At 45.6% G+C, this 16049-nt stretch overlaps 1 protein-coding gene across 9 annotated transcripts, besides 2 other annotated features; it reads left to right on the plus strand.

Moving 5' to 3' along the window:
• Positions 1242 to 1773: an enhancer, noted in NCBI's record as "H3K27ac-H3K4me1 hESC enhancer chr19:58095022-58095553 (GRCh37/hg19 assembly coordinates)". NCBI's record gives its function as "activates a minimal SCP1, AML or CMV promoter by ChIP-STARR-seq in primed H9 embryonic stem cells {active_cell/tissue: H9 hESC(primed)}" and the evidence as "EXISTENCE:reporter gene assay evidence [ECO:0000049][PMID:30033119]".
• Positions 1470 to 1569: an enhancer, noted in NCBI's record as "active region_15147". NCBI's record gives its function as "activates an Ori minimal core promoter by ATAC-STARR-seq in GM12878 lymphoblastoid cells {active_cell/tissue: GM12878}" and the evidence as "EXISTENCE:reporter gene assay evidence [ECO:0000049][PMID:35858748]".
• Positions 1733 to 11478, plus strand: ZIK1 (zinc finger protein interacting with K protein 1). Of its 9 annotated transcripts, none has more exons than XM_011526762.2 (4): positions 1733 to 2200; positions 2540 to 2578; positions 6127 to 6253; positions 7599 to 11478. In XM_011526762.2, exons 2-4 carry the CDS (start codon positions 2564 to 2566, stop codon positions 8861 to 8863), a joined length of 1407 nt encoding a protein of 468 aa, XP_011525064.1. In that variant the 5' UTR covers positions 1733 to 2200; positions 2540 to 2563; the 3' UTR covers positions 8864 to 11478. The 9 variants fall into 9 exon arrangements, with proteins under 9 accessions (XP_011525064.1, NP_001010879.2, XP_011525063.1 ...); NM_001010879.4 differs by having other exon boundaries at positions 1733 to 1977; XM_011526761.2 differs by having other exon boundaries at positions 1733 to 1977; positions 6169 to 6253.
• The last annotated feature ends 4571 nt before the right edge of the window (positions 11479 to 16049 follow it).

Here is a 16049-nt window from a genome sequence, read left to right on the forward strand (position 1 = left end):
GGTAAGCACTGGAAGGGTGGATTTTGATTGGAAGGACTTCAAACAAATCTATTGATGGCAAGGCGGGGATGGGGTTGTTATCACCCAACATTCAGAGACAACAGACCCCTTGCTTTCGGAAGTGTTTCAGCACTTGGGTTCCAGCCATAGCCTGATATTTTGGTTTCCTGTGGTGACAGGGTGGAGTCTGGTAGGTGAGACTTCAGCTCCGAGTGTTGGGTCAATGTTTTCTTTTCTCTTTTCTTTTTATTTATTTATTTATTTACTTATTTATTTATTGAGACAGGGTCTGGCTCCGTTGCCCAGGCTGGAGTGCAGTGGCATAATCATAACTCACTGTAACCGTGATCTCCTGGGCTCAAGCGATACTCCCACCTCAGCATCCTGAGTAGCTAGGATTACAGGTGCACCACCATACTCGGGTAATTTTTTAGTTTTTGTAGAGACGGGGTCTGGCTATGTTGCCCAAGTGGTCCTTCCACCTCAGCCTCCCAATGTGCTTGGATTACAGGTGTGAGCCACCGCGCTGGGCCTGACATTTTCTTTTCTGCACATTCTCTAGCTGTGTAACTTGCAACTCTTTAGCTCTGTGCCTGCAAAATAACTGGACATTATGTTACCAACAGAGGATGGCCAGATGAGACTGGTCCAGTGGTTAAACCTGCACCTTCATGGAGGCCATTATGAGTATCCCTACAGGCCGAGTCTCAGGGTGCCCCCAGAAGCCCATACCAGCCGCTGTAAGGCAGAGCATGGACTTCCCCTCGGGGACTAAATCCCATTCTTGGGCTCCAGAGGCCTTGTTCCTACCACTGTACGCCACCGCTTGGGGTGCCCTGGGAACCCGCCTACCTCCCTACTGCCCTGAGGGCGGTTGGAGATGGTCCCAGCAGGTGTGGGAGATGAGGTAGGAGACGTCTTCAACGGGGTCCAAGGCTCATCTGGACCCAGTTCTCAGCCGAGGGGCGGTGGAGAGGGCGTCAGAAAACGCAGGAACGGCTCCTAGACCCAGGAGGGGACTCAGGGAAGCAGAGGCGCTTTCCTCGGCGGCTCTGGGGCCTTCCCAGCTCGCCCGGCCCCCCTGGAGGAGACGTCCCCCGGGGTGGAGCTACGGAGAACCCCTTCCCATGGGACGTCTCGGCCCCGCCTCCCGCCTCTGGGTACAGTCAAAGGGCTCAGGTCAGAGCAGGAGCAGCCGGGGGCGCGGCCCCCACGTGGCCTCCCGGGACACGTGCCCACAGCGCGACACCTAAGTCGCTCCTTTCACAGAATAGCCTTGGCCCCGGCACGGCCTCGAACGCCTTGACCCCGCAAGGGAGGGGCACGAGGCTCCTTTGCTCCCGCAGGAGCGTCGAATACGTATGGAATACGCGTCGGTGTGGATCTGGCCTCAGCTTCCTGAGCCTGAATCAATGCTTCTAATCACGTGGGCGCTCAGCCGCGACGGGACCACAGAAATCGACCAGCGGCCTGTTTAAGGAGCGACAAGGCCCAGCCCTCTCCTGCATTGTGGCGACGCCATTTCCCTGCGCCCCCAGCGCGGCCGCTTGGCTTTTGTTTGAGGTGACGCTGGGCGGCAGCATCCTTCCCTCAGCCCTGGGGACCAGCGGGGACTACAGAACCCAGAAGGTTTTGTCTCCAGCCGCAGGGATGCTGAGCCAATCCGCGCTGAGAAAAGGGTCGTTTCCGCTTTGGGACCAATGGGTCGGGGAGGGACTTCCGGTATCACTTCAGTGGCGGTCATTTTTGCAGCGCTTGGGTGCATCCAGACCGTCAGAGCTTTGGGAGCGCTTTGTTTGGCGACAGTCGGAAGGCGCGAGGGGAGGGGTCCTCCCGCTGAACAGTGGGGGTTCTAAGGGTCGGCGGCGGCGGGGTTGACGGCTTTGCCTAGGTCCCTCCGCCCGTAGCTGTCGGGTCCCGGCCCCGCTCTGCCCACAGACTCCGATGGCTGCGGCCGCGCTGAGGGCCCCGACTCAGGTGAGCGCTGCCTCTACTGGGCCTCACCCTCCATCCCCAAATTAGTGCCTTCTTGGGTCACTACGGTCGAGATCCTCATGTCCAGTACAGTGGGGGCTCGTGGGTGGGGTCCCTATTTCCAGAACTTGGGTGATGGGGCACGGAAGAGGGTTACAGGCAAAGGGACCAGCGTTTCTAAACTCTTGGAGACACAGTGAAGAAGGTTCATACCTGGAGTGCCAAGGTGAGGAGTTTTCCCTCAATTCTTAGGATGCTAGGAGCCGTGGAGGGTTGTGTACAGAAGCGGCATATGGTCTGAGTTAGGTCTTTCGAAGTTTTCCAAAAACCTCATGGAGTTAGACTAGAATAGAATGGAATAACACAGAGGCACAGGGAGGTTGAGTTCTTGTGCAAGGTCCCACAGTTGCTAAGAGTTGGCACTGAGGACTGGAACGCTGAGGCTCAGAAATAATGCAGGCATCCTCAGTCCACCTGGCTCTGGCCTGGACAGGAATCCAGGGAAGCCTGAATCCGTAGAGCCCTGTATGGTCACCTGCCTTTCATGATCTTTGGCTTTCCACAGGTTACTGTGTCTCCAGAAACACATATGGACCTCACAAAGGTGAGTGGAGGGTGTCCCAGGCCCTCACTGGTCCTGGCCCCATCCTGGGGTTTTTTCATGGATCTTTTTGCCACCATCCAGTTCTTTGACCTAAGGACTCTTCACAAACTGGAAGCTTGACATCCTGATTCTAGACTGGTGGTTATTTGTAGACGTTCTTATTGCTGGCAGACAATGGAATGAGGTGTGAAAGGTTGCCCCGCCTACGTACAATAATGTGTAAGGTTGGCAGTGAAGCTGAGCTGATTCAGGGAAACACAACTCTCCTTTCTTTCTCATGGGAACTCAGAGCAGCAGGGCAGGACTCAGGCCTGGAATGGCTCTGAGAAATTGGGTGTTTTTTCTGGAGGTGATGAGAACAATGGGAGGTTTAGAGAAGAGAACGGAGGTTATCTGACACTGGTCTCATCAGGTTCACTGTTAATGCAGCATAGAGAATACTCTGTGGGTGTGATGGAGGCGATAGAAAGACCAGGGAGGAGGCTACTGCAGTGGCCAAGGTGAGTTTTGATAGTGGCTTCACCAGTGTGGTGGCTGTGAAGGTAGAAGAAGTGGCTGGATTCTGGGTCAGAATTTTAATTAGGCCTGCTTGCATTTTCAGATTTTGAGGGTAAGAGATACTGGTCAAGCATTACTCCAGGCATTTTGAATTTAGCATCTGGAAGGATGGAATCTCCATCAAATAGCATGTTATAGGATTGATTTTATTTTTATTTTATTTATTTATTTGTCTATTTTTAGACAGTCTCACTCTGTCACTCAGGCTGGAGTGCAGTGGCTCGATCTTGGCTCTTTGCAACCTCCACCTCCCGGGTTCAAGCAATCCTCCTGCCTCAGCCTCCTGAGTAGTTGGGACTACAGGCACATGCTACCGTGCTACCATGCCCAGCGAATTTTTTTTTTTTTTTTTTTTTGTATCTTTAGTAGAGACAGGGTTTCACCATGTTGGCCAGGCTGGTCTCAAACTCCTGACCTCAGGTGATCCACCTGTCTTGGCCTCCCAAAGTGCTGGGATTACAGGCGTGAGCCACCATGCCCAGCCAATTAATTTTCATTAAGGATAACAGGAGTTTTGTCTTTAGCTATTATCATAGTCTGAGATATTCCAAAGAATGATATATGGAGACATCAGGTGAGTAGCTGTCCATGTACATCTAGAATTCTGGAAGTGGTTTAAGATGGAGAAATCCAAAAGGTGGTGGCCAGTGTTTGGCCCAGAGTAGCTATGGGTCACAATTAGGAGTGGGTAATCCTGGTCTTGAAGATAATGCTATTTATAATGCAGGAAAGGGCTGGGTGTGGTGGCTCACACCTGTAATCCCAGCACTTTGGGCGGCCGAGGCAGGCGGATCACTTGAGGTCAGGAGTTCTAGACCAGCTTGGCCAACATGGTGAAACTCCGTCTCCACTAAAAATACAAAAATTAGCCAGGCGTGGTGGCAGGCACCTGTAATCCCAGCTACTAGGGAGGCTGAGGCAGGAGAATTGCTTGAGCCCAGGAGGCGGAGGTTGCAGTGAGCCAAGATCACGCCACTGCACTCCAGCCTGGGTGACAGAGTGAGACTCCATCTCAAAAACAAAACAAAAAAACAGAAAAGGGAAGGTTGGGGCTATGACTGTGTCTCATGCTTGGACACGTGGTAGAGGTGGTGAGCATCACAAACAGTTGTGAGAGAAAAGTGGTCATGGGAAGATTGTAGGAAAGAGGATGATCTGGTGTATCAGTCCATTTTCACACTGCTGATAAAGACAGCAAGTCTCTAGGAAGTTCCAGACTTTCCCATATTTTCCTGTCTTCTTCTGAGCCCTCCAAACTGTTCCAACCTCTGCCTGTTCCCCAATTCCAAAATTGCTTCCACATTTTCAGTTATCTTTACAGCACAGCCCCACTTTACTCATACTGATTTACTGTATTAGTCCATTTTCATGCTGCTGATAAAGATGTGCTGGAGACTAGATAATTTGTAAGGAAAAAGAGGTTTAATGGACTCATGATTCCGCGTGGCTGGGGAGGCCTCACAATCATGGTGGAGGGTGAAAGGCATGTCTTGCATGGCAGCAGACAAGAGAGAACTTGTTCAGGGGAACTCCCCCCTTATAAAACCATCAAATCTTGTGAGACTTATTTACTATCATGAGAACAGCATGGGAAAGGCCTGCCCCTATGGTTCGATTACCTCTCACCAGGTCCCTCCCATGACATGGGAATTGTGGGAACTACAATTCAAGAAGAGATTTGGGTGGGGACGCAGCCAAATCATATCATCTGATAAGTGGTCAAGGCTTCCAAGGCATTAGGGACATAAGACAGACATGGAGATAAAGAAATAATTGGTAGAAGATGACACTGAGGCCAGGTACAGTGGACTGTGTCCCCGCAAAATTCATATGCTTAAAGCCTAATTCCAGTGTGATGGTATTTGGAGGTTGGGCCTTTGGGAGATAATTAGGTCATGAGGGTGGAGCCCTAATGAATGGGATTAGTGAGTGCTCTTAAACAAAGAGGCCAGAGAGCTACTATCTAGTGCTCTTTCCAACAAGTGAGGATACAAGAAGTCAGCAGTCTGCAACCTGGAAAGAGTCCCTACCAGAACCTGACCATGCTGGCACTCTGATCTCAGGCTTCCTGCCTGCAGATCTGTGAGAAATAAATTTCTGTTGTTGATAAGCCACCCAGTTTGTGGTATTATGCTAGCAGGCCAAACTGACTAAAACACTAGGACTAGTGCTTATTCACCATGGTAAAAACTCGCCAGGAATTTGTTGTGACCCTTGGTGAGTCTGGGGAGGGTGTGAGTCAAGCAGTTGAATAAGTTTAGGAGTACAAGTGTTCATCTGTATGAGTCATTAGGTTGGAGGTAGAGAGCCACTGAGAGTCTGTGCCACTGAGGCCACTGATTTTGAATGAGGGTTAAGAGGTGAGAAGAAGGTTGTTGATTGAAGAGGGGACATCAAGTGCAGCACAAGTGGAGGACGGCCATCGGTGTCTGACATCAGGTGATTCTTGGTGGCTGAGGTTGAAGCAAGGAACAGAGTCAGGAAGATAGCCCTTCAGAGCAGGGTGGGGGCTGTCTATGACAGTAGGAACCATCAGAGGTCTGTGTAGCACTGGATGATGTCTCAATTTGGCAGGCAGAGGGGTGGAGGTAGCCGTGGGAGTGAGACTGAGCGAGTATGGTTCAAAGAATGATGTGTACATGGAGAGGGAGTGTGAACTGAAGGACCCAGGCCCCTGGCATTGAGGACTTAAGGGTCAAAGGTGAAGCCACATTTGATTGTGTCTAGGAGGCACTATCTGAAAGACCCTTGGGGAACTGCCTGACAAGAAGGGATACACTCCTACATACCGGGCCCAAAGTTTAGATGTGGTGCATCCTGCCCACCTCCTGGTTGGTGCTGTAGAAGGATACAGTGATCATTGGGACCATGAAAAGAGAGTGGGCATCTGTGTCACCAGGGCCTGTATTTCCTTAAGGTGGGGATGATTGCGTGGGTGGATGAACTTGTGGAGGCGTTGATTGTGGAGTGACCTGTCCCCATCATGACAGGGCTGTGTGACCTTTGAGGACATCGCCATTTACTTCTCACAGGACGAGTGGGGACTTCTTGATGAGGCTCAGAGACTCCTGTACCTTGAAGTGATGCTGGAGAACTTTGCCCTTGTAGCCTCACTGGGTAAGGCCCTAATACCAACTCCAGTGTCCTGGTCTGTCTATGGTCTTTTGCTGACTTCTCCACTTTCTTGGGATATGTGCTATGGGATCCAGCACTGTGCACTGCCTGAGTAGCCCTAACACCTGCTGCCCAGTGGTCTGGGAACACCTGCTGCCCAGTGGTCTGGGAACACCTGCCACTGGGCAGCAGGTGTTCTTCAGTCAGCCAAATGGATCTCTGTTCCTTGCTCTCTTCTTGGCTGGGTGTCTGTGTTCAGATCCATGACACCTTGTGTCCCAAGTTCCCTGCACCCCCATCTGCTAGCTGACATTTTCTTGTGGCTACCTGTGTCATGATTGTAGTCATTGTCATTGTCTATACTTATGGGGACAATGGGCTCTTCTTACTCACTCCTTCTAGTTTGTTTGTTTGTTTGTTTGTTTAATGATATTAACTTTCTTGCCCATGGGCTGTTGTGTGCTGAGTCGTTCTGCATCAGTGCTGATCACTCACATGTTCTGTCTTTCTGGTAGGACTTGGCTTCATGAAGGTCCCACATAGCTAGACAACTGAGGGTGTGCAGAGAAACCTGGTTGCTTTATAGGGTGAACATGGTCTCAGAGAAGGCCTGGGCTTGTTGAGTGGCAACTGGTTGGGGGCATGATATCCGGGCTGTTTTCCGATCACATAAGGAGCCTGTCCTGTCTTCACCACTGTTTGGGTGCACATGCCACTGGCCAAATCTCATTTCTATATTTTCTTCTCAGTACTTGACACTTCTCTCTCTTATTATTTTTATCTATGACTTCTAGCACCTGGCTACCTCCACCTTTCTGATCTTCATGCATCATCTGCTTCTCTGCACTGCTCCCTCTGCAATGTTTTCCAACATTGACACACACATAATGTCTCATGAAGTATGTATATATGACCACATGAAGATATGTGATCATATCACTTGCTACTCAGTTTCAATTGTATTTTCCTGGGCTTGGGCACAGTCAACCTTCTGCACAGCATGCAGGTGTCACCAGCAGACAAGGTCCTCCTGAAGACTATGTGGTGAGTTTTAGGAATTGGAAGGCTACTCAAGGATAATTTTTGAGGCTGTTGGTAGAGGAATGGTTTGAAGGCAATGCCATTCCCTGTCCTTCATCCCATCCTTGTGTCCTTTATTTGGTGAGGCCTCCCTCATTCTGTGATCTTTAGAGATCCAGTATTGCAAAGCAACCCCTTCCTCAACTTGCCCCCAGCTCCATTATCCTCAAAACAAACCTGGTGAATCATTCGTTTGGTATGTGTGTAATGGGGCTTCTTGCTCTCAGCATAGTCAATGTATATTTCATCAGCGGTTCTCTGCTTTCAGGTTGTGGCCATGGAACAGAGGATGAAGAGACACCTTCTGACCAGAATGTTTCTGTAGGAGTGTCACAGTCAAAGGCAGGTTCATCCACACAGAAGACTCAATCCTGTGAGATGTGTGTCCCAGTCCTGAAAGATATTTTGCATCTAGCTGATCTCCCTGGGCAGAAACCATACTTGGTTGGAGAATGTACAAACCATCACCAGCACCAGAAGCATCACAGTGCAAAGAAATCCTTGAAGAGGGACATGGACAGAGCCTCATATGTGAAGTGCTGCCTATTCTGTATGTCATTGAAGCCCTTTCGCAAATGGGAGGTTGGAAAGGACCTTCCAGCCATGTTGCGGCTTCTGAGGTCCCTGGTCTTTCCTGGAGGCAAGAAACCCGGCACAATTACTGAATGTGGGGAGGACATTCGCAGTCAAAAAAGTCATTACAAGTCAGGTGAATGTGGGAAGGCTTCCAGGCACAAACACACTCCTGTTTACCATCCAAGAGTCTACACTGGAAAAAAGCTTTATGAGTGTAGCAAATGTGGGAAAGCCTTCCGTGGCAAGTACTCACTTGTTCAGCACCAGAGAGTCCATACTGGAGAAAGGCCTTGGGAGTGCAATGAATGTGGAAAATTCTTTAGCCAAACCTCCCACCTGAATGATCATCGGAGAATCCACACCGGAGAAAGGCCTTATGAGTGCAGCGAATGTGGAAAATTATTTAGACAAAACTCCAGCCTTGTTGACCACCAGAAAATACACACTGGAGCAAGGCCTTATGAGTGTAGCCAGTGTGGGAAATCCTTTAGCCAAAAAGCCACCCTTGTTAAACACCAAAGAGTTCACACTGGAGAAAGGCCTTATAAGTGTGGTGAATGTGGGAATTCCTTTAGTCAAAGTGCCATTCTTAATCAACACCGAAGAATTCACACTGGAGCAAAGCCTTATGAGTGTGGCCAGTGTGGGAAATCCTTTAGTCAAAAAGCTACCCTCATTAAACACCAGAGAGTTCACACTGGAGAAAGGCCTTATAAGTGTGGTGACTGTGGGAAATCCTTTAGTCAAAGCTCCATCCTTATTCAACACCGGAGAATTCATACTGGAGCAAGGCCTTATGAGTGTGGCCAGTGTGGAAAGTCCTTTAGCCAAAAGTCTGGTCTCATTCAACACCAAGTGGTTCACACTGGAGAAAGGCCTTATGAGTGCAACAAATGTGGGAATTCCTTTAGCCAATGCTCCAGCCTCATACATCACCAAAAATGTCATAACACATAGAGGCCTCATGAATGCAGCAAATGTGGAAGCGCCTTCAACTCAAGATCTATCATCATTTAGCTCCTGAAAGTCCACACTTAAGTAGAGCCTTAGACCTACAGGGAAAGTGCTGTCTCTGTAGTATTGTAGCAGTAGAGAGCCTTTGTGAGGGAGCCATCTGCCTGAAGTTGAACCTCATTCTTCCTTGTTTCTCTGGTAGAAACCATCTACCCTCTACCACCTTGCACAGTGGGCACTGGTCACTCCTATGTGCTAAGACAAGGCAGACATCTGTGTGTTCTCTTAAGTCTTTGGAGGAAATCTTGAGCAGTCTAAGCCTTTAGAGAAAATTCATTCTTTTTTCTGACTGATCACAGCATACGTGTGACCCAGTTTGGGTCAGGAGGGCCCAGCCTTGGTTCTGCTGGACACTTATGTGCAAGGATTCCCTTCATGTAAATTCTTGGTCTCACATGACACTTGGTCATTCTTCCAGCCTCCATGTCACCACGTGGTGAATGGCTGCCTCACATTGCTCCAGTTTGTGCACTAATAAAAGCCTTATATTTGAATCTACCTGTAGTCTTGGGGTTCTGTTTACTGTGTGGGGTGGCTGGGAGACAGACTTCAACTCTATATGAAGGAATGGATGGCTTTTGTGGGCCTCTGCAGGAAAGTAAGATGACAGAGTAATTCTAATTCTGGTTTTGGTCATACTTGCTTTGCTACCTAAAATCTCCTAGGAAAAAATGCAAGGTTTTGGTTATTCTAATTTGTGGCCTGGATCCCTATTCTTTCTGTGAGACTAGAGGTCATCCTGAGGAGAGGCCAGCTGTTATGACAAGCATGTGTGCTTCAGGGAATAGGACAATTTTATTCCATTGTTTCCAGAGGATGTCATATGATGCCCAGTGCTGCTGAGAAGCTTTTCATGGGGTTCTATAAGGAGGCATGCCCTGATATCAAACATTCCATAGGCCGATGTCACGCAGAAGACAACGCGAGTCACATGTGAACTGTAATTGGTACAGAAATACCTGGGTATTTCTGTACTGTGTGTACTGTAGCAAACTAGTTGGAATGTGCCTCTTATAAAAGTACATTTACAAATCTTCCCGTGACTGTGGCTTTGAGCAGTCATAGGACCTAGAAATCTGTGTATGTCCAATAGCTGAGGTTATTTTCAGCAAAAATAATTAAAGGGTTTTATTTTTTAATTCTTGTTGGTTTTCTAGGTTGTTCACCTCAAGTGCATTGCTGTAGAGGCAGAAAAAGGAGGATAAAGATAACAGAAGTCCTATAGGCCAGGGATGTATTGATAGCTCTTGTGATTTCCACCAGTGTTGCTGTTGTCTCAAATTGCCACAGCCTTCATTGCTTGCCAACATTTCCTGCATGGAGGGACTCATGGTTGCCCTTCCCCAGGCCTGAAGAGAGAGTGCAGTCAACATGAGATTGCTAGGCATTCTGGTTTCTGAAAGTTGGGTGATCAGATACTTTATTGTGAAACATGTTTTACAAACTTTCTTGATGTGTAAGTGACATGCCATAGTTTACATCCATTTATGGTGTATAATTTGAAGAGTTTGTCATACAAGCCTGTGAAACCATAATCATGATCATGAACATATTCATGATTCACCTCTTGCTGTTTTACAATCTCTGCGTGTACTTTCCAGGCCTTCAGGAGTCCTGTCATTTACTTTCCCTACAGGAGAATAGTTTGTGTTTTCTAGGATTTTATGTGAATTGAAACGTAAAATACTTACTCCATTTTTCCTGATGATGCACAATTTTTTTTTTTTTTTTGAGATGGAGTCTCAGTCTGTCACCAGGCTGGAGTGCAGTGGCATGATCTTGGCTCACTCCAACCTCCTCCTGGGTTCCAGCGATTCTCCTGCCTCAGCCTCCTGAGAAGCTAGGACTACAGGCATGCACTACCACGCCCAACTAATTTTTGTATTTTTAGTAGAGATGTGGTTTTACCATGTTTGCCAGGATGGTCTTGATCTCTTGACCTCGTGATCCGCCCGCCTCAGCCTCCCGAAGTGCTGGGATTACAGGCGTAAGCCACCACACCAGCTGATGCACAATTACTTTTAAGATTTATCAATATTGCTTATGTGAATAGTTCATTTGTATTGCTGAGAAATAGTCTGTGGATATGTCACAATTTGGATAAACAGTTGGATGCTTTCCAGTTTTGGGCTGTTGCAAATAATGCTACTATGAACATAGGCATATAACTCTTAATATGCAGAAATGCTTTATTTCTCCTGTGTCAGTAGTACAGTGTACGTGAATGCGTCACTTTTAAAGACAAGGCCAGACTATAACCTAACTGTACCATTTGCATTCTCATCAACAGTATGTGAACCTTCTTATTTCTCTACATTCTTGCCATACTTGGTATGGTTAGTCTTTTTAATTTTAGTTGTTTTAATAGCTGTATAATAGCATCTGTCTGTGATTTTATTGCATTTTTCTGGTATTTTATGGTATTGAACATTTGAACATCTTGTATCTAGTTGCCACCTGTATATCCTCTTTGGAAGAATGTTTATTAATGTCTTTTGCTTATTTTTAAATGGATGTTGGTGATACTTTTTCATTAATAAATAGACGTATAACAAAGACTTATGTTGAAACTTTACTCATTCTTCAGTAATGTGATGCACTTATTTGCTAAATGATAAAATTGTTTTCAAATACTGGGAAAATAATTTCTCAGTTTTTTGGTCTATTCACAGTGTAACAACTACAGACACTATATACCTGAAACACTACCTTCATTGACAAATTCTCCATCACTTTCTTAGGTCTAACCATTCAATGAAACAAATAAGCCCTGGTTTTTAATATTTGCCAATTTCCCTGGTAAAATACTCCCACCATGGCCAATTACAAGGTGTCAAAATAATGTCACTGAACATGAATTGAGAAGAAGTGGGTAGCGTCACACCACTGTATTCTACTTTCACCATGCCAATACAGTAGCCGCAGATAACCTGAAGATCATGTATGTAGGAACCATACAGCCTGTGGTGTGGCAAGACTGATGCCATCTTGAAGTGAAGCTGTCATGGTCACCTATGTTCTGAAGCAGTAGCATAGATATCATCAAAATGCTTCTCTCCCCCAATGGTCATGAGTCTTGGCAAGAAAGTCTGAAGACGTGAAGAGCTGCACGTTTTACCCTAAAAACTCCAGGCCGGGCGTGTTGGCTCTTGCCTGTAATCCCAACACTTTGGGAGGCCAAGGTGGGCAGATCACGAGGTCAGGAGATGGAGACCATCCTGGCTAACATGGTGAAACCCCATCTCTACTAAAAATAGAAAAATTAGCCGGTTGTGGTGGCTTACGGGTGCCTGTAATCCCAGCTACTTGGGAGGCTGAGGCAGGAGAATCACTTGAATCCAGGAGGTGGAGGTTGCAGTGAGCCGAGATCACGCCATTGCACTCCAGCCTGGCAACAGAGCAAGACTCCGTCTAGAAAAACAAACAAACAAAAAACTCCAGCCTTGTTGACCACTACAAAAAGGGTCCTATAAAGGATGTAAAGGAAACTGCCTTCTGGAGGGCAGATACAGGGATCCATTGTCTCACAGCTGCACAAGACATCACTTCTGTTCATGAGTCCCTATGAAATGTTTCTGAAAACAATTTGGCCTCTTCCTCCTTCTTTGGCCTTTCAGCTTCGTTGGCCTTTGGGATAGATTTTCATACACCTGCTCACTATAGAACAATGTATATATAAGAGTAAAACAGTAAAATGATTAAGAATTGACTTTTGAGTATTTATTACTTGTGTTTTTAAAAGTGGCTTAAGTGAAATCTAGTTGTCTTAAATTCTGCATATTTAAAGTATACAATTTCTATTTTAATATATACTCGAAACCATAAGTTTCCACCTGCCCTTTTTAGTCCATCCCTCTTAACAAGTAATGGGTACAAAAACTTATTTTTCCTCTTCTAATGGATATTTTCAAGTATATACACAAATGGAAAGGACTGTGTTCAGATGCACTATGAAACCTTTCTAAATCTTCCATTATTACTTATCATTTAGTAGCCATTCTTGTTTCAACTCTTTTCACACATAATTATTTTACTTACAATTCCCACATCTTGTCATTCAATGCTGCACCTCTTCAGAATGCATTTTCAAGCATAAGAGCTCTTTCATAATTCCTATAACTTTATCAATCATTATTTAAGGCATCATAAAATATATCATCAGTGCTCAGTCACCTCGAATTGTCTCCAAAATTGATTTTTAAGACAAATTCATTGCAATCAGATCCAAAATGAATCTATATGGCTATTAGTAGTTTCATCTGGTGAGTCTATAATAATACACAGCTACCACTTTTTATTATTATTCTTGAAGTTGATGAGACATTTGTCCAGAATTTGCCACATTCTGGAATGGTGCGTGTTTTTGTTTTGTGTCTCTCTGATGTCATTTAACATGCTGACCCTTTCTCCATATTCCTGTGCACTAGATATTAAGGAAATGGGTAACTGAACTCTGGTCCTGCAGATAGGTGTGCAATAGTAACACACTTATGCAGTGTGACTGTGTTGTGTGTATGTGTATGTCTATTCAAAAGGTGACATTCACAGACATCTGGAGGCTTAGAGATTATTGAAAAAGTAAAAAAGGAAGAAGCACTTTGTTTTTGCTTCCTCTAAGATACCTGAGAAGGTTTCTCAACTGATTTGAAATGTGAAACAATGCCAAAACAATTACCATAGATCCAGTAATACTGCTTCTTGGTTTTACTGAAATGAGTTAAACATTTATGTCCACACAAAATCTTGTACATGAATATTTATAGCACCTTTGTTCATAATTGGCAAAATTTGGTAGCAACCAAAATGTCCTTCAGTAAGTGAACAGGTAAGTGTGGTACATTTAGAAAATGGTATATTTATCCACATTAAAATAAATAATAAAAGATATGGAAGAACTTAAATACATATTTCTAAGTGAAAGGATCTGATATGGTTTGGCTGTGTCCCCACTCAAATCTCATCTTGAATTATAAGTACCACATGTCATGGGAGGAACCCAGTGGGAGGTGATTGAATTATAGGAGTGGGTTTTTCCCACGCTGTTCTCATGACAGTAAATTAGTCTCACGAGATCTGATGGCTTTAAAATCGGGAGTTTAGCTGCACAAGCTTATTCTCTTTGCCTGCTGCCATCCACCTAGGACGTGACTTGCTCCTCCTTGCCTTCTGCAATAATTGTGAGGCTTCCCCAGCCACGTGGAATTGTGAGTTCTCCATTAAACCGCTTTCCTTTGTAAATTGCCCAGTCTCGGGTATGTCTTTATCAGCAGCGCGAAAACGGACTATTACAGGATCCAAACTAAAAGGACTACATACTGTGATTTGAACTATATGACATTCCAGAAAAAGCAAAACTATGGAGACAGTAAAAAATGAGTGGTTGCCAGGGGTTTGGGGGAAGGGAGGAAGGGATGAACAGGTGGAGCACGGAGGACTTTTAGGGCAGTGAAACTACTCTGTGATACTACCGTGGTGTGTATACAAGTCACTATGCCTTTGTCAAAACCCATATAACAACCAGCTAGAGTAAATCCTAATGTAAACTATGGATTTGGGATGATAATGATATGCCAGCGTACCATCAATTGTAACAAATATACTATTCTAGTGGGGAATATTTATAGTGGAGTGGCTGTACATGCATGGGACAAGGGATATGTGGAAGCTCTATAATTTTTTGCTCAATTTTCCTATGAACCAAAACTGCTCTAAAAAATAATCTATTAAAACTTTACCAGCCTGAGCAACATGGCGAGACCCCGTGCCTACAAAAAATCAAAAAATTATCAGGGCATGGTGGTGCAGGTGCATGTCTGTTACCAGCTATTCTGGAGGCTGAGGTGGGAGTATTGCTTGAGCCCAGGAATTCAAAGCTACAGTGAGCTCTGATTGTGCCACTGCACTCCAGCCTGGATGACAGAGTGAGACCCTGTCTCTAAAAAAATTAAAATTAACTAATTTGCAAATTAGTTTAAAATATGTATTTTGCAATGTTTGTGCTGTGTATTTGTATAACTCAAGGGAGATTAATTTTAACAAATTGAATTTGGCAAGCCAGTTATTTCCATGAGCAGCCTAGTTAATTTATCTACTTAAACAACAAAAACAAGTAGATACACAGATTTTCTGGCACTTTCCAAGCTCACTATTTCCCTACTTTGACTATTGGCCTAAGAAATTGCCATAAGAGCTGTGTGTACCTGTAGCCCCAGCTACTTGGGAGGCTGAGGCGGAAGGATCACTTGAGACCAGGAGTTTTAAACCAGCCTGGGCAACATAGCAAGAACCCTGTCTGTAAAAAAAAAATATATATATATTTTAAAAATTAGCTGGGCACAGTAGTGAGTGCCTGCAATCCCATATACTCAGGAAGCTGACACAGAAATGTCGCTGAAGCCGAAGAGTTTGAGGCTGCAGTAATCTATGATCCTGCCACTGCACTCCAGCCTGGGCAACAGAGCAAGACTCTTCCTCAAAAAAAAAAAATTACCATTAGACACTCAAATATGCAGGCAAAATGAGTCCTTTGTGGAGTCACTCAGAAGGGCTCCCCACTTACCTTTCTATATGAAATCATGCTGGAGCCACACCTTCTCCCTTTCCTTTTCAGACAGGACTTAAATTCAGCAACTGAAGAGCTATCTGCTCTATGTGTCTTCAGGGTAAACATTTCCAGAGCCAAGCCAAATGTACTTATAGACTTATATATGACTGCACTAAAAAAAGCAAAGTAAGTCTATGTTCAGTTCAATTAATTATGTTCAATATTCTTTTTTTTTTTCTCTCTACTGAGATGGAGTCTCACTCTGTCACCAGGCAGGAGTGCAGTGGTGTGATCTCGGCTCACTGCAACCTCCACCTCCTGGGTTCAAGCGCTTCTCCTGCCTCAGCCTCCCAAGTAGCTGGGACTACAGGCGCACGCCACCACACCCAGCTAATTTTTGTATTTTTAGTAGAGACAGGGCTTCACCATGTTGGCCAGGCTGGTCTTGATCTCTTGACCTCATGAGCCACCTGCCTTGGCCTCCTAAAGTGCTGGGATTACAGGCATGAGCCACCGCGCTTGGCCTAGCCACAAGATTATTAATAGTTGTGACGTATAATGTTTTGTGTCGACTTGCCTGCATTA

Source organism: Homo sapiens, chromosome 19 (assembly GCF_000001405.40).
Source record: "Homo sapiens chromosome 19, GRCh38.p14 Primary Assembly".
NCBI classification, from domain to species: domain Eukaryota; kingdom Metazoa; phylum Chordata; class Mammalia; order Primates; family Hominidae; genus Homo; species Homo sapiens.

Excerpts from the sequence above, each read along its gene's own strand:
- ZIK1 (NM_001010879.4), top strand. The coding sequence starts at position 1,945 with ATGGCTGCGGCCGCGCTGAGGGCCCCGACTCAG. Across the intron at positions 1,978-2,539 it reads CGCTGAGGGCCCCGACTCAG|GTTACTGTGTCTCCAGAAAC; the intron begins GTGAGCGCTGCC and ends GGCTTTCCACAG. Across the intron at positions 2,579-6,126 it reads CACATATGGACCTCACAAAG|GGCTGTGTGACCTTTGAGGA; the intron begins GTGAGTGGAGGG and ends CCATCATGACAG.